The 27054-nt window shown below is 43.7% G+C and overlaps 1 protein-coding gene across 5 annotated transcripts in view, besides 1 other annotated feature; it reads right to left on the bottom strand.

Annotated features, from left to right (window-relative positions):
* The window catches only part of GCNT1 (glucosaminyl (N-acetyl) transferase 1), a 113548-nt gene that overhangs the window by 57745 nt on the left and 28749 nt on the right, over positions 1-27054 (bottom strand). The window contains exon 3 of one of the 5 annotated variants that reach the window (NM_001407181.1): positions 7357-7811. The exons of 3 other annotated variants lie outside the window; for them this stretch is intronic. The gene's annotated coding sequence lies outside the window, so the exon portion shown is untranslated. Of the gene's footprint in view, positions 1-7356; positions 8007-27054 lie in introns of those variants that run through there. One more of the 5 variants, NM_001097634.1, reaches the window with a different exon arrangement.
* Positions 10742-10831: an enhancer, noted in NCBI's record as "active region_28473". NCBI's record gives its function as "activates an Ori minimal core promoter by ATAC-STARR-seq in GM12878 lymphoblastoid cells {active_cell/tissue: GM12878}" and the evidence as "EXISTENCE:reporter gene assay evidence [ECO:0000049][PMID:35858748]".

The raw sequence follows: 27054 nt of genomic DNA, 5'->3' as shown, positions 1-27054 counted from the left end.
GATAAAGTGTGGGAAGCTACTAGACAAGGGAAATGGGGAGAGGCTGCGCTTCTCTGGTGTGGGTAAATTGTGGGAAGGTAACTGGGAAAGGCATGGTAATTAAGGCTTGTTTAGTGAGGTGTGTTATGCAGATGAATTGTTCACCTTATTCTGGTATGGGAGAGGGCATCACCTTTGCAAAGGGAAATTAGGCAAACGTTTGTAGGTAGAAAGAGAGAGGGCAAAGAGTTTTGCTTGTGTCTGCTGTTTCTCAGTTGCCTTTAGCTCAAAATAATCCTTATGCCAATATGGCATGTTTTGAGGTGGCACATTCTTTTTTACTTTTACTATTATCATTTTATTTGCTTGTTTTTTTTTTTGTTGTTTTTTATAGAGACAGGGTCTTGTTTGTTGTTGCCCAGGCTGGAGTGTGGTAGTGTGATCATACCTCACTGTCATCTTGAACCAAGTAGCTAGGACTACAGGTACACACTACCCCGCCCCGCTAATTTATTTTATTTTGTTTTTGGTAGAGACAGGGTCTTGCTTTATTGCCCAGGCTGGTCTCAAACTCCTGGCCTCAAGGGATCTTCTCACTTCAGCCTCCCAAAATGCTGGGATTATAGGCCCTGCCACCATGCCCAGCCTGGGGTGGCATATTCTGATCCCTTTCCCATTGTTTCAGAAAGATGTTTCCATTTTGGAAAAACATAAAATAAATGAACAAATAATAGTAAATTTAGCATTTCTGTCCAAAAGAAAATGACATGTACAGTGAGCAGATGCCCATCAGGGTGTTTACCAGCAAAAACAAGTTAAAAGAAGTACCTGTCTGAATGGATCAACAAATTGCAGCATATCATATTAAAATAATGGAATGACATTTAAGAAAGCAAAATTGATTCACACTTCAACATGGATGAATCTCCAGACCTTATGTGGAGATAAAGATGCCAAACACGAAAGAGTACAGACCGTTTGATTCATGTTTATGTATCTGAAATTCTGGAAGAGGCAAATCTAATCTATAGTGACAGAAAGGAGAGCAGTTGTTGCTGGGGCTGAGTGTGGGGAGAGGAGGGCATTTGCTTTTTGGGGTGATAGAAATGTTCTTTATCTTGATTGTGGTAATAATTGCCTGGGTTAGTAGGTTGGTCAGAAGTCATGGAACTATACACCTAAACAGCTATATTTTATTAAACCATGCCTCAATAAGATTTTTTTGCTGCTGTTGTTGTTTTGAGGTGGGGTCGTACTCTGCAACCCAGGCTGGAGTGCAGTGGCATGATCACAGCTCACTGTAGCCTCAGTCTTCTGGGCTCAAGCCATCCTCCCACCTCAGCCTCCCAAGTACCTGGGACTACAGGTACGTGCCACCACACCTGGCTAATTTTTGTATTTTTTGTAGAGATAGGGTTTCACCATGTTGCCCAGGCTGGTCTCAAACTCCTGGGCTTAAGTAATCCGCCTGCCTCGGGCTCCCAGAGTGCTTGGATTACAGGCGCGAGCCACCGCGCCTGGCTGTGTGTATATATATATATAAAGTGTCTGTTAGTAAAGACTAGAGGGGTAAACAGAAAGCAGACAGCATGTGTTGAGCAAAATCTGGACTCGCTGAGTTTGCAGTGATGATAAACTTTCAGAGTAGAGGCTCTCCAGGCTTCTCAAAGTATTCCTGGACTCAGTGATTCCTATCTGGAAGCCATCTGGACAAAGACGGCTGGCACAGCCATGCCACTAAATGCACTCTTTTGAGGGTAAGAGTGCATAGAAGTTGTGAGGCATTTTCAGTTTCAGGAATCCAGCACAGCAAAGGAAGATGACAGGGTCAGGGCGTACTGGACACAGGGATTGTGGACTGACATGCTAAAGAAGACGGATGAGCCAGGGGGCTCACAGAGTTTTTTTAAAGCTGAGCACCAAAATGCCTATGCTAAATGAACAAGAATGTTCTAGATATAAAAATTATTTAATAAACATCCTCCATACTGACTTGTAAATATTGCGTGAAGTGTGGCAGAGGCCCCCTCTGGTGGTAGTGTGCAAAATCACATGTATAACTATAAAAAAGTTAAGAAATAGGGTGAAAATCAGTCCTAGTGTTTACATACATTAGATGTTAGAGGTATATACTAAAGAGGCAGTTTAGGCTGGGCACAGTGGCTCATGCCTGTAATCCCAGCACTTTGGGAGGCTGAGGCAGCCCGATCGCTTAAGCCCAGGAGTTTAAGACCAGCCTGGGCAACATGGTGAAACCTCTCTCTACAAAAAAATAAAAATAAAAATTAGCTGGGGCGTGGTGGTGCACACCTATGGTCCCAGCTATTAAGGAGGCTAAAGTGGAAGGATTGCCTGAGCCCGGGAGGTTGAGGCTGCAGTGAGTGGTGATCAAGCCACTGCACTCCAGCCTGGGTGAGAGTGAGATCTGTCTCCAAAAAAGAAAAAGAAGAAAAAGAAAAAAAGAAAAGGAAGAAGCAATTCAGCAATATCCACATACCATCCATATCTGTTCTTTTTTTTTTTTTTTTTTTTTTTTTTTTTGACACAGGGTTTCACTCTGCCCAGGATGTAGTGCAGTGGCACGCTCCCAGCTCACTGCAGCCTCAATCTCCTGGGCTCAGACAATCCTCCTACCTCAGCCTCCCAAGTAGCTGGGATTACAGGTGGACGCTACCATGCCCAGTTAATTTTTGTATTTTTTGTAGAGATGAGGTATCACCATGTTGGCCACGTTGGCCTCAAACTCCTGGACTCGAGTGATCTGCCCGTCTCAGCCTCCCAAAGTGCTGGGATTACAGGCATGAGCCACTGTGCCCAGCCTAAACTGCCTCTTTAGTATGTACCTCTAACATCTAATGTATGTAAACACCAAGCCACTATGCTTGGCCCATATATGTTCTTTACTTTGCTTCTTCTCACTTAACACGTTTGGAAAATCATTCCATATTAGTTTATATAAAGCCTCTTTGTTCTTTTCAGTGTCTATCCAGTACGGGGCTATGCCATGATATTCAAATAGTTCCCTAATGGCCATTCCAGTTGTTTCCAGTTTTTTGCTATTATAAACAATGCTACAGTGAATGTCTTCACACATATATAAAACATATGTGTAGTATTAATTGCCGTAAGTGGTATTGCTTGGTCAAAATGTATGTGCATTTAAAAAGTTGATAGGTCTCACCCTCTGTGTGGGGGAAGATGATTGGCAATAGATACCATCAGACACAGGCAAAAGAAACAAGTTCCTTAGACCTTGATAAAGGATAGGAGAATTTAAACTCTAAGAAGATTGCATGGAGCGGGAGTTTTGGCAGCCGTCTTTTCCACAAGGGCAAACTTCCCTGGGTGCTGTGTGCTGGCTCCCATCAGCTTCTGCAAAAACTCTCCTTGTCTTACACCCTCTATATGTTCTGGAGACCCTGGCTATGTTCCTGACCAGAGAAGGGCACTGGAGTCACTCCAGTGCATTCCTGCATAATCTCTGCAAGGGAGACTTGAAGGTCAGTTTCCCAGGGTAAATTTTCTAGATAGATGATCCCCTAGGAACTCCCAGGCCTTAAGCTTCCTGATGACTCTTCATGTCTTCCACAGAGAAATTGTTCCAATTTACATTCTCACCAGCAATGTGTGACTTCCTGTTTCCCCCACACACTCACCAACAGAGCAAATTATCACAGGTTTTAAAAATAATATTTATTGATTTATTTAGGAAATGGGGTCTTGCTCTGTTGCCCAGGCTGGAGTCCAGTGGTGTAATTGACCACAGCTCACTGCAGCTTCAAACTTCTGGGCTTAAGAGATCCTCCCTCCTCAGCCTCTTGAGTAGCTGGAACAGGCACACACCACCATGTCTGGCTAATTTTCGTATTTTCTATTTTTTATAGAGACAGGAGTCTCACCATGTTGTCCAGGCTGGTCCCGAACTCCTGACCTCAAGCATTCCTTCCACCTTGGCCTCCCAGATTGCTGGGATTACAGGTGTGAGCCACCCCACCTAGCCACAGTTTTTATCTTTGCCAATTCTAATAAGTAAAAACTGAGGGAGGCCAAGGCGGGAGGATCGCTTGAGCTCGGGAGTTCGAGACCAGCCTGGCCAACATGTTGAAACCCCATCTCTACCAAAAAAGAAATACAAAAATTAGCTGGGCTTGGTGGTACATGACTGTAATCCCAGCTACTCGGGAGGCTGAGGGACAAGAATCGCTTGAGCCCAAGAGGTGGAGTTTGCAGTGAGCCGAGACTGAGCCACTGCACTCCAGCCTGGGTGAAAGAGTGAGACTGTCAAAAAAATAAATAAATAAATAAGGAAAGGAAAACCTGAAACAAAGAGTTTAAACTTTACATTGCTCTCATGTGTAAGGTACCACATCTTTTCATACAGTGATAATGAGAGATACATGTGTCTATATTCCTAGTAAAGCCAACCCTTCCACTGGGGCACCTGATCCTCATTCCAGGTATAACATCCTCTGATGTTATACTTGAGAACATCATCCGAGCAATTCTTTCTTCTGCAACTTCAACTTTTTTTCTCTCCACAGAATCGTTCCTATCAGCATGCAAAAATGTTATTTCTCCTTTTGACAACCCTTTCTTGAACGCCTTCCTCCTTAGCTACTGCCCTAATTCTCTACTTATAGCAGAGCTTTCCTTTTCTGGAAAGGGCCAGATAGTAAATATTTGAAGTATGGTGGGCTATTTATTCTCTCACAACCTCTTACCTGTGTCCCTCTAGTGTGACAGCAGCCACAGACAGCACGTAAATGAACAGGTGTGATCATAGTTTGCTGCAGTTTACTGACTCCTGCTTCATAGAAAACTGACCTTCATTCCCCCTTGCTGTGGTCAGGGAAGAAGGTGCTGTGGTTGTCGCCTGTTCCTTGCCTTCAGCAGGCTAAGAGCTGAGGTCTCCAGAACAACACAGAGGGCCCAAGAGGGCATCAGCCTCCTTGTGAAAACAGAAAAGGGAGTTTCTGGAAGAACCTGATTGTTTTGTGTCAAAAGAATTGCCTGTATCTGGTGTCTCCAAATTATATTAAACCCTCTCTAATCAGGTGCTTAGTCCCGTGCCTCTAGGGAAACTGCCCCTGTCCATTTCAGCTCTGTGGTTCTAAATCCAGCAGACATTTATCTAAACTTGTTTTACCTGTACTCTCAGCAGCATTTCAGACAAATCGTCACTCCTTGACCTTGAAACCCTTTTTCCTCACCTGGACTCTTAATCCTCATGGTTTTGTTCTCGTCACTCTTTGTCAGCCTTCAGTTTCCTCCTCTTCCCCCAGGCCTCTTAACCCTGCAGAGCTTCACGACTCAGGCCTCAGATCTCTTCTTTTTTCTCTACAGCCCTTCTGTATGGCCTCATCCAACCTCATGCTGTTAAGTACATCTAGATTTAACCTCGACATCGCTCTGATTTCTATCTCTAGTCTGGACCTGTCCTCAGAACTCCAGACTCATATTTCCAACTGCTTAGTAAACATCTCCCTTTACAGGTAAAATTGGCATTTCAAACAAACATGTCCAATACGCAGCTCCTTATCTTCTTCTCCCGGAGCCTGCTTCTCCCACTTTTCTCCCGGACTTACTCATTGACAACTCCACCTAGTTGCTCAGGCCAAACACTCCTGGAGTCATCTGTCTTGCCTCTCTTTCTCACAAAGCACACACCCAATTCAACAAATGCTTCTGGCTCTTTTTTTCTTCCTTCCTTCCTTCCTTCCTTCCTTCCTTCCTTCCTTCCTTCCTTCCTTCCTTCCTTCCTTTCTTCCTTTCTTCCTTTCTTCCTTTCTTCCTTTCTTTCTTTCTTTCTTTCTTTCCTTTTTTTAGACAGAGTCTCACTCTGTTGCCCAGGCTGGAGTGCAGTGGCTCACTGAAACCTCCGCCTCCCAGGTTCAAGCGATTCTCCTGCTTCAGCCTCCCAAGTAGCTGGGACTATAGGCATGCACCACCACACCTGGCTAGCTTTTGTATCTTTAGTAGAGACGGATGTTGGGAACAAATCCCCCAAAATCTGGCCATAAACTGGCCCCAAAACTGGCCATAAACAAAATCTCTGCAGCACTGTGACATGTTCATGATGGCCATAATAGCCATGCTGGAAGGTTGTGGGTTTACCGGAATGAGGGCAAGGAACACCTGGCCCACCCAGGGTGGAAAACCGCTTAAAGGCATTCTTAAGCCACAAACAATAGCATGAGCAATCTGTGCCTTAAGGACATGCTCCTGCTGCAGTTAACTAGCCCAACCTATTCCTTTAATTCGGCCCATCCCTTCGTTTCCCATAAGGGATACTTTTAGTTAATTTAATATCTATAGAAACAATGCTAATGACTGGCTTGCTGTTAATAAATACGTGGGTAAATCTCTGTTCAGGGCTCTCAGCTCTGAAGGCTGTGAGACCCCTGATATCCCACTTCACACCTCTATATTTCTGTGTGTGTGTCTTTAATTCCTCTAGCACCACTGGGTTAGGGTCTCCCCAACCGAGCTGGTCTTCACAGACGGGGTTTCACCATGTTGGCCAGGCTGGTCTCGAACTCCTGAGCTCAAGTGATCTGCCTGCCTTGGCCTCCCAAATTGCTGGGGTTACAGGTGTGAGCCATTGAACCTGGCCTCTATTTCAAAATATATCCAGATTAGGATCCCTTTTACCCATCTCCATTGCTACCACCTTGGGCCATGCTACTGCTGTATCTCACCTGACATCTCCTGCTTCCTCTCATGCCCCACATACAGCCTGGGATTACAGGCATGAGCCACTGAGCCTGGCCAGTGTTTGTTTTGTTTTAAATCCATTTTGGCTTTAGTATATTCCCAACATCTATAAAAGTGCTTGGCTCAAAGTAGGAGGAGCTCAATAATATTTGATGAATAAATAAGAGAATAAATGAATGAATACTTTATCTTCATATGGTACTTTGTAACTTAAGAACCATTTTCACATTTCTCTTACTACTTCTGATAATCGGATAATCAGATAAAACCACTGTGTTAGTTTCTTTCTTTCTTTTTTGAGATGGAGTCTCACTCTGTCGCCCAGGCTGGAGTGCGGTGGCATGATCTTGGCTCACTGCAACCTCTGCCTCACGGGTTCAAGTGGTTCTCCTGCCTCAGCCTCCCAAGTAGCTGGGATTACAGGCGCCTACCACCAAGCCCAGCTAATTTTTGTATTTTTAGTAGAGACAGGGTTTTGCCATGTTGGCCAGGCTGGTCTCGAACTCCTGACCTCAAGTGATCCGCCCACCTCAGCCTCCCAAAGTGCTTGGATTACAGGCATGAGCCATGGCGCCTGGTCACAACTGTGTTAGTTTCTTATTGCTGCTGTAACAAACTACCACACACAGCATGGCTATAAGCAACACAAATTTATTTTCTTACCGTTCTGTAGGTCAGAAGTCTGAAGCAGGTCTCACTGGCCTAAAATCGAGGTGTCAGCAGAACCGTGTTTCTTTCTGGGAGCTTTAGAGGAAAATCTATTTCCTTGCCATTTCTAGCTTCTCGAAGCCTCTCTCATTCATTGACTGTGGGCCTTCCTCCGGCTTCAAAACCAGCAATGGTCAGTTAAGTCCTTCTCAGATGAAGTCACTGTGACCTCTGCTTCTGGCTTCACATCCCCTGAGCCAGAGCTGGTGAAGAGAGGTGTCTCTGAGTCACACTGTGCGAATTGCCATGGAACAGAGTTAAGCTGTTTTCACATTGATCCGTATCACAAGTGAGTGTTTTCCCCAGCTCTGAGTCAGTCTTTCTTTTTAAATCCAAAACCATATTATTAAGTTTTTAAAAAATCATGATTGCTTTACTTCTTCAGGTTTCAGGTTTCTCAGACATAAAACCTTAAAACAGAAATGAATACCTGATGATTGCATTCCAGTTGTCTGCATTACCCATTAAGAGTCTCTGACCTTTTCTGGTCCCAGGAAACCTCAAAGAATAATCTGCATTTTCCACTTCATAGGTCTTAATGGGAGCAGGACTGTGGAAGGTGACACTGCGGCTTCTCCCTCCTTAACAGTTCACCTATGGTCTGTCTGGTATGACTCACACTTTCTTCGTGTCTCAAATTTCCCACATACGAAACAGATACTATGATGAAAATATAGCCCATTTAATTATGTGAAGTGTTTTGAACAAAATTGTTATAATGTCTTAGCATAATGTGGACTTTTTGTACATCATCTAGTCTGATGGTTCTCACCATTGCTACCCACTGGAATTACTTATGGAACCTTAACAAATCCTGATGCTGGCTGAGAGTGGTGATGGCTCATGCCTGTAATCCCAGCACTTTGAGAGGCCGAGGCAGGCAGATCACCTGAAGTCAGGAGTTTGAGACCAGCCTGGCCAACATGGTAAAACCCCGTCTCTACTAAAAATAAAAAAATTAGCCAGGCATGGTGGTGGGCACCTGTAGTCTCAGCTACTCTGGAGGCTGAGGCAGGAGAATTGCTTGAGGCCGGGAGGCGGATGTTGCAGTGAGCTGAGATCGCGCCACTGCACTCCAGCCTGGGTGACAGAGCAAGACTTCGTCTCAAACAACAACAAAAATCCTGATGCCTAGGTCCTGCACCAAGGATTCTGATGTGATTGCTATGGAATGTGGCCTAGGCATAGGTTTTTTTGTTTTTTTTTGAGATGGAGTCTCTCTTTGTTGCCCAGGCTGGAGTGCAGTGGTGTGATCTTGGCTCACTGCAACCTCCGCCTCCCGGGTTCAAGCAATTTTTCCTACCTCAGCCTCCTCAGTAGCTGGGATTACAGGCATGCACCACCATGCCCAGCTAATTTTTGTATTTTTAGTAGAGATGGGGTTTCACCATGTTGGTCAGGCTGGTCTTGATCTCCTGACCTTGTGATCCACCCGCCTCAACCTCCCAAAGTGCTGGGATTACAGGCATGAGTCACTGCACCCGGCAGGCATAGGCATTTTTAAAAGCTCCCCAGCTGATTCTAACGTGCAACCAAGTCTGGGACCAGGGAAGACTCCTCTTAGGTAGCTCTAAACAAGCTCTTGTGGATGAGCCACTTTCTGGACCCAGTCCCCAAGTCATCCCCTGTGAGTGCAGCTCATTCTCCCCTCTGGGTTTTGGTCCTAGCAACCATCAGGAAGGAGACAGGACAGGTGGGTGCAGGACCTCAGCCCCACACAGGGCAGGGGGACACACAGGTTGCAACATCATAGTGAAAAGGACCGGAATCTGATGAGGACACACTGGAAACATGGTACCACTGTAACCCAGGTTTCCTCCTCACCTGTGGAGCAAATATAAATCAGGGAAATGTAGATTGATGTCACCTTCATTCATCACAGCTTTAGTGAAACCTGGCAACTGGGGAATTTTTTGTTCACAAGGCAAACAAAGTCTTCAATTTAATTCCTTTAAATTCCTTGAAGATTATATTAACTAGTAGGTGAGGTTAAGACTTTTGAAAGTCATGTGGGTATTGAACTGAACTGCTCTTAGAAGAAAATTCAGAGAGAAGGTGATGTGGGTCAGGAGCAGGAAGAGATGCTGAGCCAAGAAGAGAGATTTGGGACATGAGATACCTCAAAAGGTTTGTTAGTTTATTCATTTTTTCTTTTTTTTTTTTTTTATTTTTGCGACGGAATTTCGCTCTTGCCCAGGCTGGAGTGCAATGGTGGGATTTCGGCTCACTGCAACCTCCGCCTCCTGGGTTCAAGCGATTCTCCTGCCTCAGCCTCCCAAGTAACTGGGATTACAGGTGCCCACCACCAAGCCCGGCTAATTTTTTGTATTTTTAGTAGAGACAGGGTTTCACCGTGTTGGCCAGGATGGTCTCGATCTCCTGACCTCAGGTGATCTGCCCACCTCAGCCTCCCAAAGTGCTAGGATTACAGGCATGAGCCAATGCGCCCAGCCTTGGTTTATTTTTAAGTGCAATCTTGATATCATGTGGTACAACTTCTCTCTTCTAGCTTCCTTCTAAAATATTGAATAAATTTTATATTCCTCACTATTGCATTCATATTAGTGCAAGGAGAGCACTGTTTTCAAAGAATTCAAAGAGGAGAGAGCCATAAGAATATGAGTCACAATCTGAAGAAAGACGCACACAGCTTTTACCAACAACTGATTTACCTCCATCTCTACTAAGGAAATGCAGACAAAATTTTTTTTTCATTTTTTCTTTTCCTTTTTAAAAACACAAATGGGGCCAGGCATGGTGGCTCACGCCTGTAATCCTAGCACTTTGGGAGGCCAAGTTGGGCAGATCACCTGAGGTCAGGAGTTTCAGACCAGCCTGGCCAACATGGCGAAGCCCCATCTCTACTAGAAATACCAAAATTAGCCTGGCGTGGTGCCACGCACCTGTAATCCAAGCTACAAGGGAGGCTGAGGTGGAGGGATCACTTGAACCTGGGAGGCAGAGGTTGCAGTGAGCTGGGATCACACCACTGCACTCCAGCCTGGGAGACAGAGTGAGACTGTCTCAAAAAAAAAAAAAAAAAAAAAGAAAAAGAAAAGAAAACACAGATTGCTGACTGCACATCAGAGTTTCTGATTTAGTAGGTGAGGAATTCTAACAAGTTCCCAGGTGATACTGAAGCTACTGGTCTGGGAACCACCCTTTCAGAACCACTGGCTTACAACACTCTCATAGAAATTATTTCCTACTTTCATGTTTTATCATGGTCTGTTCTTTGAAATGTTAATAAGTCTGACGAGAAAAGAAAAGAGTGTTGTGGTCAAATGTGTAAGGGAAGTTAAGATTCTTTAGAGAAATCAAAACTTACTGCCCACACATACACGGCTTACTATCTATCAAGCTTGTCCAACCCAAGGCCCATAGTCTGCATGCAGCCCAGGAGGGCTTTCAATGAGGCCCAACACAAATTCATAAACTTTCTTAAAACATTATGAGTTTTTTTTTTTTTTTCTCATTGGCTATCATTAATGTTAGTGTATTTTATGTGTGGCCCAAGACAATTCTTCTTCCAATGTGGCCCAGGGAAGCCAAAAGATTGGAAACCCCTGGTACATTTACCTGACTTTCTTATTTCAGGAAATTTTTACTCAGAAGGATGAAATGGCTGTAAACAAAAAATTAAATTCTAAGCTCCCCTAATCATCTGAATGAACCCCTCCTTTCAGTCAGGGGCATTCCAGAGTTAACCTGAAAAACTAATTCAAGTCATGATGGAAGAGAGGCTCACATATGCCTCATTATACCCCTTCAGCATTAACATCAACACAGACCTTAAGTCTGATAAGAAAAGTTTACAGTCTACTCTCTACAAAGTCTGCTACTGAGAAGCTTCAACTGCCTGATAAGGCCTTAGTCTCCACAACACCTTATTATAACCCAGACATTCGTGTCTCCTTTCTACTGATAACTCTTTCAATCAGTTACCAATCAGAAAAATTTTAAATCTACCTATGACCTGGAAGCCACCCCCCACACCTCCCTTTGAGTTGTCCTACCTTTCCAGATCAAACCCACGTAAATATTACATGTATTGATTGATGCATTATGTCTCCCTAAAATGTATAAAAGCAAGATGTACCCCAACCACCTTGGGCACATGTCATCAGGACCTCCTGAGGCTGTGTGACAGGCATGTCCTTAACCTTGGCAAAATAAAGTCTCTAAATTGCTTGAGACCTGTCTCAGATACTTTTGGGTTCAAATGGACAAAAATTTTATTTGTTCTAGGAACTTTCTGAAAATCCATTAGTCCAAACACTAGACTACTCAATTTATCCTCATTAAAGTAAGTACCACTTTCCAAGGAAAATAGATACAATCAAAAGATCATTTACTCTTTAAGACATGCTTGGGAACTCTCACCTTGCTGTGTCCACCAATGCTAAACCATTGTGTCACATACTTGTCCAATCCTAATCAAGCTCTATATCAAAATAGCCACCTTACTCCAGATTCCACAAACCTAATAAATATTCTGCTTTGCCCTCACCCTTCCAAGAAGCCAGTAAGACTCTTGTTATGAAAATGATCTTGTTACCAGAAAGGGGTCCTGATCCACACCCCAAGAGATGGTTCTTGGATCTCACAAAAGAAAGAATTCAGGGCGAGTCCATAGAGTAAAGTGAAAACAAGTATAGTAGAAAAGTAAGGGACTAAAGAATGGCTACTCTATAGACAGAGCATCCCCAAGGGTTGCTGGTTGCCCATTTTTATGGTTATTCCTTGATGATATGCTAAACAAAGGGTGGATTATTCATGCCTCCCCTTTTTAGACCATATAAGGTAACTTCCTGACGTTGCCATGGCATTTGTAAACTGTCATGGCGCTGGTGGGAGCGTAGCAGTAAGGATAATCAGAGGTCGCTCTCATTGCCATCTTGGTTTTGGTGGGGTTTGGCCGGCTTCTTTACTGCACACTGTTTTATCAGCAAGATCTTCATGACCTGTATCTAAGTACCGACCTCCCAGCTCATCCTGTGACTTAGAATGCTGAACCGTCTGGGAATGCAGCCCAGTAAGTTTCAGCCTTATTTTACCCAGCTCCTATTCAAGATGGAGTTGCTCTTGTTCACATGTTTCTGACAATCTCTCTCTCTCTCTTTTTTTCCCCATATATTTATTTTTTTCTTTTCTTTTTTTATTATTATACTTTAAGTTCTAGGGTACATGTGCACAATGTGCAGGTTTGCTACATATGTATACATGTGCCATGTTGGTGTGCTGCACCCGTTAACTTATCATTTACATTAGGTATATCTCCTAATGCTATCCCTTCCCCCTCCCCACACCCCACGACAGGCCCTGGTGTGTGATGCTCCCCACCCTGTGTCCAAGTGTTCTCATTGTTCAATTCCCACCTATGAGTGAGAACATGCAGTGTTTGGTTTTCTGTCTGACAATCTCTCTTACCTCAACAAGCACTGAACTAAGCCTGGTGCTATCCATCCATTTTGAGGGAGTCAGCATTCAACTATCCATTGCCTTTACTTCCTATATTAGGTTAGGTTGCTCCTATTAATTCCTGTCTTACTCACAGCTTGTGACTGGAAAATAGTAGGCATTCAATAAATCAATAAATGTTATTTGAGTAAATGGACGAAATTTTCAGTTTTTAATATGCTATTGTGCCTTTTTTTTTTTTTTTTTTTTTTGAGATGGAATCTTACTCTGTCGCACAGGCTGGAGTGCAGAGTGCAGTGGTGCGATCTCAGCTCACTGTAACCTTCACCTCCCAGGGTCAAGTGATTCTTTTGCCTCAGCCTCTGGAGTACTTGGGATTACAGGCAGGCACATGCCACCATGCCCAGTTAATTTTTGTATTTTTAGCAGAGATGGGCTTTCACCATGTTGGCCAGGCTGATCTTGAACTCCTGACCTCAAGTGATCTGCCTGCCTCTGCCTCCCAAGGCATTGTGACTTTCTAAGCAGGGAAATGGTGTAATTTCCCCCAAATTCCCACCACTTGTGGAAGGTATGTTCCTCAAACACCCTTTGGACAACCCTATCCTAATTTGTTACACAGATGTTTTCTTATAAGATGGAGGCCGAGGTAGGTGGATCACCTGAGGTCAGGAGTTCAAGACCATCCTGGGCAACATGGTGAAACCCCATATCTACTAAAAACACAAAAATTAGCCAGGCATGGTGGCACATGCCTGTAATCCCACCTACTGGGGAGGCTGAGGAGGGAGAATTGAACCCAGGAGGCAGAGGTTGTAGTGAGCCGAGATCGTGCCACTGCACTCCAGCCTGGGTGACAGAGCGAGATTCTGTCTCAAAAAAAAAAAAAAAAAAAAAAGATATGGGAACTACTGCTTAGCACTCTGTCATTCTTACTAAAGGAAGTGCTCCAGGATTGAATGTACCAATAAATTTAAGACCCTTCACTGTGTGAAAACCCTAATCTTAGGACTCTTTTCCACTCAAGATTATGGTCTTTGTTATGGACCTAATTGTGTCCCTCCCCAAATTCATATGTTGAAGTCCCAACCTCTGATGTGACTGTATTTGGAGATAGGGCTTTAAGAATGTAATTAACATTAAATGAGGTAATAAGGCTGGGACCTTAATACAATAGGACCAGTGTCCTTGTAAGAAGAGTAAAAGACACCTAAGAACTCTTTCTCTCTCTTTGTGGGTACACACAAGAGGACAGACACAGTGAGAAGATGGCCATCAACAAACCAGAAAGAGAAGCCTCACCAGAAACCAAACTTGCTGGCACCTTATTCTTGGATTGCTAGCCTCCAGAACTGTGAAGAAATAAATTCTGTTGTTTTAGCCACAGAGTCTGTGGTAACTTGTTATGGTAGTGGGAGCTGACTAATTCAGTCTTCTTGAGGCTGAATTTGGGACCAGTGGGGGAACTGGTCCCAAAATTTCAACGTAGGCTCTTTCTATTTTCCATAATTGCTGGCCAGTCTGAGAAATAAAGAGAAAGACTACAAAGAGAGGAATTTTACAGCTGGGCCGCCAGGGGTGACATCACATATCAGTAGGTCCATGATGCCCACCCGAGCCGCAAAACCAGCAAATTTTCATTAGGGATTTTAAAAGGGGAGGGGCTGTATGAACAGGGAGTAGCTCACAAAGATCACATGCTTCAAAGGGAAAAAGGGAGAACAAAGATCACATGGTTCTGAGGAAACAGGGCAAGGACAAAAGCAAAGATCACAAGGCAAAGGTCAAAATTAGAATTACTGATGACGGTCTATGTTCAGCTGTGCACGTATTGTCTTGATAAACATCTTAAACAACAGAAAACATGGTTCGAGAGCAGAGAACTGGTCTGACCTCAAATTTACCAGGGTGGGATTTCTTCCCCACCCTAATAAGCCTGAGGGTACTGCAGGAGACGGGGCGTATTTCAGTCCTTATCTCAACCACACTTCCAGAGTGGCTGTTTATAGACCTCTCCCCAGGAATGCAATTCTTTTCCTAGGGTCTTAATATTATATTCCTTGCTAGGAAAAGAATTTAGCGATATCTCTCTTACTTGCACATCCATTTATAGGCTCTCTGCAAGAAGAAAAATATGGCTCTTTTTGCCCCACCCCGCAGGCAGTCAGACCTTATGGTTGTCTTCCCTTGTTCCCTAAAATCGGTGTTATTCTGTTAGTTTTCAAGGTGCACTGATTTCATATTTTTCAAACACACATGTTTTACAATCAGATTTCATGTTGTTCAAACACAAGTTTTACAATCAATTTGTACAGTTAACACAATCATCACAGGGTCCTGAGGTGACATACATCCGCAGCTTACAAAGATAACAGGATTAAGAGATTAAAGACAGGCATAAGAAATTATAAAAGTATTATTAGGGGAGTGATAAATGTCCATGAAATCACAATTTATGTTCCTCTGCCATGGCTCCAGCCAGTCACTCCATTCGGGGTCCCTGACTTCCCACAATAGTGAGTCCTGAACATGACCTATGGCTCAGAGAGCTCTCTCTAGCCTATTTATCCTGGTGTCATAGCTTCTGTTGATGATGATAATCATACTACATTAGTCCCCCCTTATCCACAGGAGATACGTTCCAAGACCCCCAGTGGATACTCGAAATCCTTAATAGTACTGAACCCTGTAAGTGCTATGCTTTTTCCTATGCATAATGTGAAAATAAAATGTAAAAGCTGTTGAAATCCCCCAAACACTATAAGCCTTGAGAGAGATGTGACTCTGATCTGAGTCATGCAGCATGTAGTTGTAACTTCTACTTCTTAGGTTATAGATTAAGTGAACCGAAGAATAAGGAGGAACTGCTGTATTATTTTTATATAACTTTGAATTTTACAGAGCTCTTTCACAGGCATCAGCTCAGTGGCACTTTGCAACAATTGAGGGATATGAGGAGGTTCACTGAAGGACAACAAACTGAGGGCTGAAGTCACAGCCACTAGAAAGTAGAAGGGTCAGAATCCCCTATTGTCTTAAATCCATCACACATCCTACTATCTGGTACTGACACAGGATTTTTCTCAACCACCTTGCCAGCAGGAAACCTCCAGCCGGTGATACCCCTGCCCAGGCTTCCCTCAGCCCAGGGCTCCCTGCAAGAGGCACCCTGCCCACTCAGCCTGCCAAACTGTGCCTGGCTTGCACTCCAGCATGGATCCTGTGGCCACCGCGACTGCAGCACTCAGCCCCTGGCAGGAGGGGGTGTGTGGGCAAGTGAGTCCAGGGTCTGGCTGGCCTCTCCAAAGGCCAGCACAGGAGCAGTCTACATGTGGGGCTAGTGGCTGGCCCAGGCATGTGGCAAGTGACTCCCATGGTGGACTCCAGCATACAGATGAGGGGTACGCCGTGGCACACAAACAGCAAAACCTGCAACCCCAAAGCCCCAGAGGGGGTGTTACAGTGTGCTAACAGCTGTTTTAGTTCCTCCACAGCCTGATGAACAGGGGCACGTTAACAGTTCTGTCAGTCCCATTGCCCCACTCCAGCCCACAGGTTTGGGGATGACCTGGCCCTGCTGCTTTCCGTTACGTGGGGCAACTGCTGAGCTCCGAAGAGGGGGCAGGGCAGAGGGCTACAGTGTTACTGTCGTCTTTGTACCTGCATTCGGAGGGGTCCCAAGTTCTTGGTCCGCATCCAAGAAGAATGAGATTATGCTGACTATTGAAGGGTGAGGAGGGCAGAGAAGAGTTTTATTGAGTGATGAAACAGCTAATGAAACAGCTCTCAGTAGAGAGGGGCCACAAGGGTGGTCTCCCACTTGGTCGGGTGGTCTCTCTCTCAGTGTGGCTGGGTATGGGGCTTTTGTGGGCTCAGAAGGCAGGAGTGCATGCTAATTGGTTTGTGAGTATCCAAAAAAGCCTAAAACAAAGGCACCGTTCAAAGGTGAGCACGACTGTAAAAAAACAATTAGGAAAGAGAAGGTATATATAAAATAGGTGAAGGGTGAGGATCAATCAAAGGAAAGCATGACAAATAGAAAGAGATTCTCAATCCAGTTCCTATGTTTATGCAAGACTTTTAGCTTGGCTTTCAGGCTTTAAACTGCCTTTGGCTTGAAGGTGGGGTTTTACCAGGGATCCACCCCATCTGCCTAGTCATTTGACTGCCTCCTACCGCTATCAGTATGTGAAAGACAATATTAAACTAAGGATGGGCACAGTGGAGCACGCCTGTAATCCCAGCACTTTGGGAGGCCCAGGCAGGCGGATCACCTAGGCTCAGGAGTTCTCAACCAGCCTGGGCAACATGGCGAAACCCTGTCTCTATAAAAAATACAAAAATAAGCCAGACATGGTGCTGCGTGCCTGTAGTCCCTGCTACTCTGGAGGCTGAGGTGGGACCGCTTGAGCCTAGAAGGTTGAGACTGCAGTGAGCCATGATTACACCACTGCATTTGAGCCTGGGCAACAGAGTGAAACCCTGTCTTGAAAAAACAAAAAACAAACAAATATATTAAACTAGATATTAGACATTTTAAGACTCAATTGCCCATATTTTCACTAGACAATTTTAATTTGGATTGCCTACATTTTTTTTGGACTAGATGTAATGTATTTTATGTAATATACTAAATGTAATATATTTAGGTCACCCAATAAAAAATTTGGTCTTTGTCTCATGCTTTTGGCAAGGAGCTTCTAAAACCCTTGGAATTTCTTTCCTTTTTTTTCCTTTTCTTGAGACAGAATTTTGCTCTGTTGCCCAGGCTGGAGTGCAGTGGTGCAATCTCAGCTTGCTGCCACCTCTGCCTCCCGGGTTTAAGCGATTCTTCTGCCTCAGGCTCTCAAGAAGCTGGGATTATGGGTGCCCATGACCACACCCGGCTAATTTTTGCATTTTTAGTAGAGATGGGGTTTCACCATGCTGGCCAGGCTGGTCTCAAACTCCTGACCTCAATTGATCCATCCACCTCGCCTCGCAAAGTGCAGGAATTACAGGCATGAGCCAACGTGGCTGGCCTGGAATTTCTTAAGGGATAGGAGTCTTTGTTGTGTTAATGAGGTATTAATGGCAGGCTCTTGGATGGCTACAGCTAGGGGACTGGTCACTGGAAAGACCAACCGCTTAATTTGAGGGTTGGCGCTTTGATATCAGCCTGACCTCCCGACTTCCAAAGAGGCGACTGGGGCTGGAGATTGAGTTCAATCAAGTGGACAGTGATTAAATCAATCATGCCTAGATAATGAAACCCCAATAAAAGACTCTGGTCATGGAGGCTCAGTGGGACTTCCGGGTTGGTGAACACATTGATGTGCTAGGAGGGTGATGTTTCCTGATTTCAAGAGGAGAGAGCAAGAAAGCTCTGTGTTCTCTCCCAGACCTCACCCTATGCGTAACTTTTATAATAAAATTATAATCATAAGTGTAGCACTTTCCTGAGTTCTGTGAGTTGTCCTAGCAAGTTACTGAAACTGAGTGGATCATGGGACCCCCAAATCTGTAGCGAGTAGGTCAGAGTATGGATGACCTGGGGTCCCTGCTAAGGGCTGGCATCTGATGTGAGGGCAGTCTTGTGGAGGATTGAGCCTTACCTTGTGGAGTCTGATGCTAACTCCATGTGGTTAGTGTCAGAACTAAATTTCAGTGCACCTAGTTATTGTTAGCCCAGTTGGGGATTTTGCCAGGACGTTTTAACATATTCATTTACTTTCCTCCCTCTGTAACAGATGTTCATTTTAGAAAATTTAGATATGAGAAAATAAAAATCATCTGTAACTCCACTACCCAAATTGAACTACTCCAATATATATTCTTTCATTCTTTTTCCTGTGTATGTGTGTGCATGTTACTTTAAGAGATGAGGCCAGGTACAGTGGCTCATGCCCGTAATCCCGGCACTTTGGGAGGCCAAGGTAGGTGGATTGCTTGAGGTCAGGAGTTCGAGACCAGCCTGGCCAACATGGTGAAACCCTATCTGTACTAAAATTACAAAAATTAGCTGGGTGTGGTTTGGTGTACACCTGTATTCCCAGCTACTCAGGGGCCTGAGGCACAAGAATCACTTGAGCCTGGGAGGCGGAGGTTGCAGTGAGCTGAGATTGCACCACTGCACTTCAGCCTGGGCCATTGAGTGAGACTTGGTCTCAAAAAAAAAGAGGACTAACCAGGTGCAGTGGCTCATTCTTGTAATCCCAGCACTTTGGGAGACCAAGGAAGGAGGATGGCTTGAGCTCAGGAGTTCATGACCAGCCTAGGCAACATAGTGAGACCTCATTTCTACCAAAATAAAAAAAAAAAATTAGTCGAACATGGTGGCAAGCACCCTTAGTCCCAGTTACTGAGGAGGCTGAGGTGGAAGGATCACTTGAGCCCCCGAGGTCAAGGATGCAGGGAGCCATGATCCCACTACTGCACTCCAGCCTGGGCAACAGAGTGAAACCCTGTTAAAAAAAAAATGAGTGTTCTGTCAATAATTATGTGAAAAGATATACAACCTTACTAATGACCAGAAAAATGCAAATTAAAATAGAAACAATAATGAGATTTTTTAAATCCTTCTCGGATTGGCAAAAAATTTAAAAGTCATGTAATACCAAGTGTTGTCAAGAATGTAGGGAAATAGAACTTTCACCCACTGCCAGTATATAGTAGGTTGCAAAAAAACAGCCACCTATTTCTCCCATTCCTGTATACATAACGCTTTACTATATAATTTTGTCTCTTTTGCCACCAAAGGCTAGAGTATATTTCTCTGCCCCTTGAATCTGAGCTTGGTCATGTGCCTTGCTTTGGCTAATGGGACATTTGCAAATGTGATGAAAATAGAGGCTTGAGGCTGGGCATGGTGACTCACGCCTGTAATCCCAGCACTTTGGGAGGCCGAGGCGGGCAGATCACAAGGTCAGGAGATCGAGACCATCCTGGCTAACATGGTGAAACCCCATCTCTAATAAAAATACAAAAAATTAGCCGGGCGTGGTGGCGGGTGCGTGTAGTCCCAGCTACTCAGGAGGCTGAGGCAGGAGGATGGCAGGAACCCGGGAGGCGGAGCTTGCAGTGAGCCGAGATTGCGCCACTGAACTCCAGCCTAGGAGACAGCGAGACTCCGTCTCAAAAAAAAAAAAAAAAAAAGAAAGAAAACAGAGGCTTGAAAACCTTCTATTCATTAGGGCTTGTACTTTCTTGCTGGCAAGAATCTTTCTGCTTGTATGTGAGCAAGCTGGACCTAGCCTCCTAAATGATGAGAGAGACTCCAGCTGTCACATATGAATAAACTATCTTAGAAAATCCAGTCCTGGCCAAGATCACCAGCCCAGGAGAACAGGCTGCCAATCCAAAAAATCATGAGAAATAATAAATGTTGGTTTTTAGGCCACTGTATTAAGGAATGATTTGCTACACAGCAAAAACTACTTGATACACAATGGGAGTATAAATTGATACAACCACTTTGCAAAGCATTGAGGCAATATCTAGTGTAGTTAAAGATGCATATACTCAATGCCTCAGCAATTCAAATCTCAAATATACACCTTGGAGAAAATCTCACACATGTGCCCAAGGAAATAGGTACAAGAATGCTCATGGCAACCTTGTGCATGCTATAGGAATAGAATCAGAAAAAAACCGAACAAAGTGACTGATCAAAAGAAGAAATGTATATTATAGTGTACTCATATAATGGAACATTATGTCACAATTAGAAGAAATATTGGGCAATATATTACCTGGGGGATGAAATAATCTGTACACCAAACCCCTGTGATGTGCAGTTTATCTAAATATTAAGAACAAACCTGCACATGTATCCCTGAGCCTAAAATAAAAGCTATAATAATAAAAAAAGAGGCCTGGCGTGGTGGCTCATGCCTGTAATCCCAACACTTTGGGAGGCCAAGGCAGACAGATCACCTGAGGTCGGGAGTTTGAGACCAGCCTGACCAACACGGAGAAACCTCGTCTCTACTAAAAATACAAAATTAGCCGGGTGTGGTGGTGCATGCCTGTAATCCCAGCTACTCAGGAGGCTGAGGCAGGAGAATCGCTTGAACCCAGGAGGCAGAGGTTGCGATGAGCTGAGATCATGCCATTGCACTCCAGCCTGGGCAACAAGAGCGAAACTCTGTCTCAAAAAAAAAAAAAAAAAATAGAATACGCAACAGCTACGTTATTCAAAGTAAAGGTATCTTGAAAATACAATGTTGAGTGAAGGGAATTTTGACAATGGTTACCATTCAGAGGATGAAGATGGTGGTGGGAGGAAAATACCATTGGGGAGGGGCACAAAGATTATTTAACTGGATCTATAATGTTCTGTTTCTTTTTAAAAACAGAAGTCAAAAAAAGCAAATATGTCAAAATATTAACATTTTTAAAATCAGTGATAGGTATTCATATTATTCTCATTTATTTTATGTATTTAAAATAGCTCATAAATTAAACAAATAAATTTATGCATATCTAATTGACCTGCCAAAATAGCAATTGTAATGACTACTTGTATTTTAGCTTAAGGAGCCAACATTTCTCCATTTCTCTCTCTCTTTTTTTTTTTAAGTTTTTTTTTTTTTTTTTTTTTTTTGAGACGGAGTCTTGCTCTTTTACCCAGGCCGGAGTGCAGTAGCACGATCTCGGCTCACTGCAAGCTCCACCTCCCGGGCTCACGCCATTCTCCTGCCTCAGCCTCCTGAGTAGCTGGGACTACAGGCGCCCGCCACCACGCGCGGCTAATTTTTTGTATTTTTAGTAGAGATGGGGTTTCACCGTATTAGCCAGGATGGTCTCGATCTCCTGACCTCGTGATTTGCCCGCCTTGGCCTTTAATGTTTTTCATGTGTTTTTTGTTTGTTTGTTTGTTTTGTTTTTGAGATAGAGTCTTGCTCTGTTGCCCAGTCTGGATTACAGTGGCGTGATCTTGGCTCACTGCAACTTCCACCTCCCGGGTTCAAGCAATTCTCATGCCACAGCCTCCCAACTATCTGGGACTGCAGGTGTGTGCTACCACGCTGATTTTTGTGCTTTTAGTAGAGATGCGGTTTCACCATGTTGGCCAGGGTGGTCTCGAACTCCTGGCCTCAAGTGATCTGCCCACTTTTGCCTCCTAAAGTGCTGGGATTACATGCCAAGAGCTAACATTTCCTAAACTAATCCTTTTAATTTTTATTATCAGGAAATTTTTAATTTTTCACATGTATAAACTATGCTGTAATAAACATCTTTGACAACATCGATATTTCTATATCATTCATTCTCAAAAGTATAACTGATATGTCAAAGTGTATTCACTTTCTAAGGTTAATATTTATTGTCAAATTTTTCTTCAGAAGGTAATACCAATTTATACCCCTGTCAGAAGTATATTACCCCTGGCCAAGCATGATGGCTCACGCCTGTAATACCAGCACTTTGGGGGGCTGAGGCGGGCAGATCGCTTGAGCCCAGGAGTTTGAGACCAGCCTGGGCAACTTGGTGAAACGCTGCCTCTACAAAAAATACAATAATTAACTGAGCATGGGTGCGTAGCTGTAGTGACTGAGGTAGGAGGATTGCTTGAGCCCAGAACGTCAAGGCTGCAGTAAGCCAAGACTGTGCCACTACACTCCAGCCTGGGCAACACAGTGAGACCCTATCTCAAAAAAAAAAAAAAAAGGTGTTGGCAGAATTAGTGTCTCCTGAGGACTCTCTCCTTATCGTGCAGATGGCTGTCTGCTCCCTGTGTCCTCAGATGATCTTTTCTCTGTGCATGTCTGTGTTTAAATTTCTTTGTCATATAAGGATACTAGTCATTTTGGATTGGAGCTGACCCTAATGATCTCATTTTAACTAACACAGTCAATTCTGAGGAACTAGGGGTTAGGACTTTAACTTATGAATTTGGGGATGACACAACTCAGCCCATAACAATGAATATTTATTCTTGTTTTGTTTTGTTTTTTTAGATGGAGTCTCACTCTTGTTGCCCAGGCTGAAGTGCAATGGCATGATCTCAGCTCACTGCAACCTCCGCCTCCCAGGTTCAAGCGATTCTCTTGCCTCAGCCCTACCCTCTGCCACCCCCGAGTAGCTGGGATTACAGGTGCCCACCACCATGCCTGGCTGATTTTTCGTATTTTTAATAGAGACGGGGTTTTGCTATGTTGGCCAGGCTGGTCTCAAACTCCTGACCTCAGGTGATCCACCTGCCTTAGCCTCCCAAAGTGCGGGATTACAGGCGTGAACCACCACTCCCAGCCTATTCTTAAATTTATTATCTAATTTAATTTTTCTTTTCTTTTTTTTTGAGACACGATCTCTCTCTGTCACCCAATCTGGAGTGTAGTGGCATGATCACAGCTCCCTGCAGCCTTGACCTCTTGGGCTCAAGTGATCCTCCCACCTCAGCCTCCTGAGTAGCTGGGACTACAGGCATGCATCACCATGCCTGCCTAATTTTTGTATTTTTTGCGAAGACAGGGCTTCGCCATGTTGCCCAGGATGGTCTTGAACTGCTGGGCTCAAGCAGTCCTCCTACATTGGCCTCCCAAAGGGCTAGAATGGAAAGCACCATTGCAAAATTATAACTGAGAAAATTATTACAGTGAAAGAGATCTGACCTGACCAACTCCATCTTCCTTTTAACCTCCAAGCTGTCCTTGTTCATTCCTGAGCGCAGGACGAACTAACTTTGGGGAGAACTTAGTTTATTGTTTAAGTTTGAAACAAAGATGATAACAGCCCTTTCCCAAAACAAACCTCCTTCCTGCCTCAGGACTAGGCTGCATTTGTAGGACTAACAAATTAGCCACAAGATTAGAAATTATGGTTTAGGAGTCATGCAGCTAGAGGCTACAAGATTCTGACCCTCCCCAAATTGCTCCTGGGTAGGCAATATCACTGTTGTAAAACCTAAGATCAGTGCTTGAGATATTTTGCAGGCCCTGCACTTGATGGATCAGCTGGCACCACCCAGATCAATCAACTGGTTCATCTGATCTTGTGGCCCCCACTCAAAAACTGACTCAGCACAAGAGGACAGCTTCGACTCTCTATGATTTAATCTCTGACCCAACCAATCAGCGCTCTTGACTCACCGGCCCTGACACACCAAATTGTCCTTAAAAACCCCCATCTCTAACTTTTCAGGGAGACCGATTTCAGTGATAATAAAACTCAGGTCTCCTATACAGCCAGCTCTGCATGAATTAAACTCTTTCTGTGTTACAATTCCCCTCTCTTGATAAATTGGCTTTGTCTAGGTAGCAGGCAACATGAACCCACTGGGCTGTTACATAAGCTTGGTTGTCCATATTTTGAGTAAATAATACGTATTTTAAAAATTAAATTAAGGCCGGGTGCAGTGGCTCATGACTGTAATCCCAGCACTTTGGGAGGCCGAGGTGGGTGGATCACCTGAGGTCAGGAGTTCAAGACCAGCCTAGACAACATGGTGAAATCCTGTCTCTACTAAAAGTACAAAAATTAGACGGGCGTGTTGGCGGTCACCTTTAATCCCAGCTACTCAGGAGGCTGAGGCAGGAGAATCACTTGAACCTGAGAGGCGGAGGTTGCAGTGAGCCAAGATCGTGCCATTGCACTCCAGCCTGGGCAACAAGAGTGAAACTCTGTCTGAAAAAATAAATTAAAATACTATTCCTTACTAGCTTTGGGTGACGTTTTTCATGTGAACTTTTTGTGATGGTTCAATGTCTTTTTTTTTTTTTTTTTTTTTTTAGACGGAGTTTCGTTCTGTCATCCAGGCTGGAGTGCAGTGGCACGATCTCGGCTCACTGCAAGCTCCACCTCCTGGGTTCACGCCATTCTCCTGCCTCAGTCTCCCAAGTAGCTGGGACTACAGGCGCGTGATACCACGCCTGGCTAATTTTTTGTATTTTTAGTAGAAACGGGGTTTCACTGTGTTAGCCAGGATGGTCTCAATCTCCTGACATCATGATCCACCTGCCTTGGCCTCCCAAAGTGCTGGGATTACAGGCGTGAGCCACCACTCCCAGCCTCGATGTCCTTTTTTATTGAAAGTTCTAGACCAAGTACATTTGTGTTGATTTTAGTTACAAGATGGCTAATTTCATTTTTACTCTTTTCTGAGGTGTGGTGAATGAATCACCTTTGTCTTAACACCAATATGCCACTTTTGACCTTTCCATTTTGAATAGGGCACAAAAAGAGATTTAGTTATCTATCATCCAGTTTTATATTACTCAGCGTGCTCTGTGAAACAGAAAGACTTTAAGGCCCAGGTCTTGTCTATCTAGTTTTTTTCTTTTTTTGAGATGAAAAAAGAGTTTATTTATTACAAACTTTTTGGGCTACTCCAAGATCCAGCCTTACCTGAAGTCCGACACCAGTCCACATTAATTGCTGTGCTATTATCCATTTATTGCCTCTCAGTTCCAAATTCATTCATTACCTACTCTGTGAAAATGGACCTAGGTCTTTTAAATATTGTTCCTTTGCCTGTTGGCACAATGTTAAGCTGTGTCAGTAGTGGAAGCTGGAGAGGCACTACAGGTAGAAACAACTTTTTTTCCCCTAGTTCAAATGTGCACCCGAGGCAGGCTCCTGCTGCACAGACTGCTTCCCCAGGACCCAGGCCTTGATTCCAGGTTCTGCCTAGCTTTTGAAAAATGCAAGGACTTTTAAAGTGTTGAAATACTAGATACTTTTTATAAGATTAAACAAAATATTACAGTCTGATTTTTGCCTGTCTATAAGGATGGATATTCATTTCACTCTTCAATTCTTCCCCCACTCCTGCTGGCTTCTTAGCAACATCACAGTTCAGAAAATGTTTACACAGTCAATTGCTACACCTTTGATTCCAAGGCAAACCATTCTTTGTAATCTCTAGCATCTAGTGCTGAATGCAAGGTAGAAAGTAATATGTCAACAAATAGTTCTGATGTGGTAAATTTTACTGTGAACCAACTCTGTCAGGTTCAAGGAAAAGCAAGCCTTTGATCTAACAAATTATTTCAGATTGTATTTAGAAACACCAACAACAAAAAGGATACTATCTCAATAAATTCCTTGCCATTCTACAGTGGAAATTTTAATGATGGCATTAAATCAATTCACTTCTATGGATTTCATCAAACTATGTCATAGCTTATATTATTCCTAGAAGAGTTGTTGAATCCCCATCTCATGGAAGCTTGAGAAAAAAAGCGTAACATCATCTGTTCCTTTCTCATTGCAGATCTGCAGGAAACATGCCATTTTGCAGTACAAATTAAGTGATTCTTTTGTTCATTAAAAGCTTGCCAAAACTGGTAACTGTGATGACTGACCTCTGTTTTAGTCTGTTTTGTGCTGTTATAACAGAATCCATGAGACTGGATAATTTATAATAAACAGAAATTTATTGGCTTACAGTTTTGAAGACTAGGAAGTTCAAGGTCATGGGGCCAGCATCTTGCAAGGGCCTTTTTGCTGCATCATCCCATGGGGGAAAGGCAAAGGGAGGGTGCAAGAGAGCAGGAGAATGAGCTCACAGTGTCAGCCTTTTTATAATTGGCATTAATTCATTCATGACGTTGGAATTCTCATGACCAAAACACCTCCAATTAGGCCCCACTTCCCAACAGCATTGCATCATTAGGGATTAAGTTTCCAACACATGAACTTTGGGGGACACATTTAAACCACGGCAACCTCCAAGGAGGAAAACATGATGCCTAATGGCAAGGGTGATGGCAATGGTGGTGGTGATCATGGACGACTAAGTTAGAAAAGTATAGATATTTCTCAGTTTACAATGGGGTTATGTCCTGCTAAATCCATCATAAATTGAAAATACCTTAAGTCAAAAATACATTTAATATGCCTAACCTGCTGAGGATCATAGTTTAGCCTAGGTTAACTTAAATGTGCTCAGAATACTTATTACATTAGTCTACCATTGGGCAAAATCATTGAACACAAAGGTTATTTTATAATAGTGTTGAATATCTCATGTAATTTATTGAATATTGTACTAAAAGTGAAAAAAATAATGGTTAGGCCAGGCATAGTGACTCATGCCTATGATCCCAGCAATCTGGGAGGCTGAGGCAGGCAGACTGCTTGAGCCCAGGAGTTTGAGACCAGCCTGGGCAACATGGAGAAACCTAGTCTCTACAAAAAATACAAAAATTAGCTGGGCATGGTGGCATGCACCTGTAGTTCCAGCTACTCTGGAGGCTGAGGTGGGAGGATCACTTGAGCCTAGGAGGTCAAGGCTGCAGTGAGTGCAGT

The sequence above is a fragment of the Homo sapiens genome, chromosome 9 (genome assembly GCF_000001405.40).
Source record: "Homo sapiens chromosome 9, GRCh38.p14 Primary Assembly".
Classification (NCBI taxonomy): domain Eukaryota; kingdom Metazoa; phylum Chordata; class Mammalia; order Primates; family Hominidae; genus Homo; species Homo sapiens.
The sequence above is the reverse complement of the archived record's forward strand: the minus strand, read 5'-3'. Positions and strand labels throughout refer to the sequence as shown.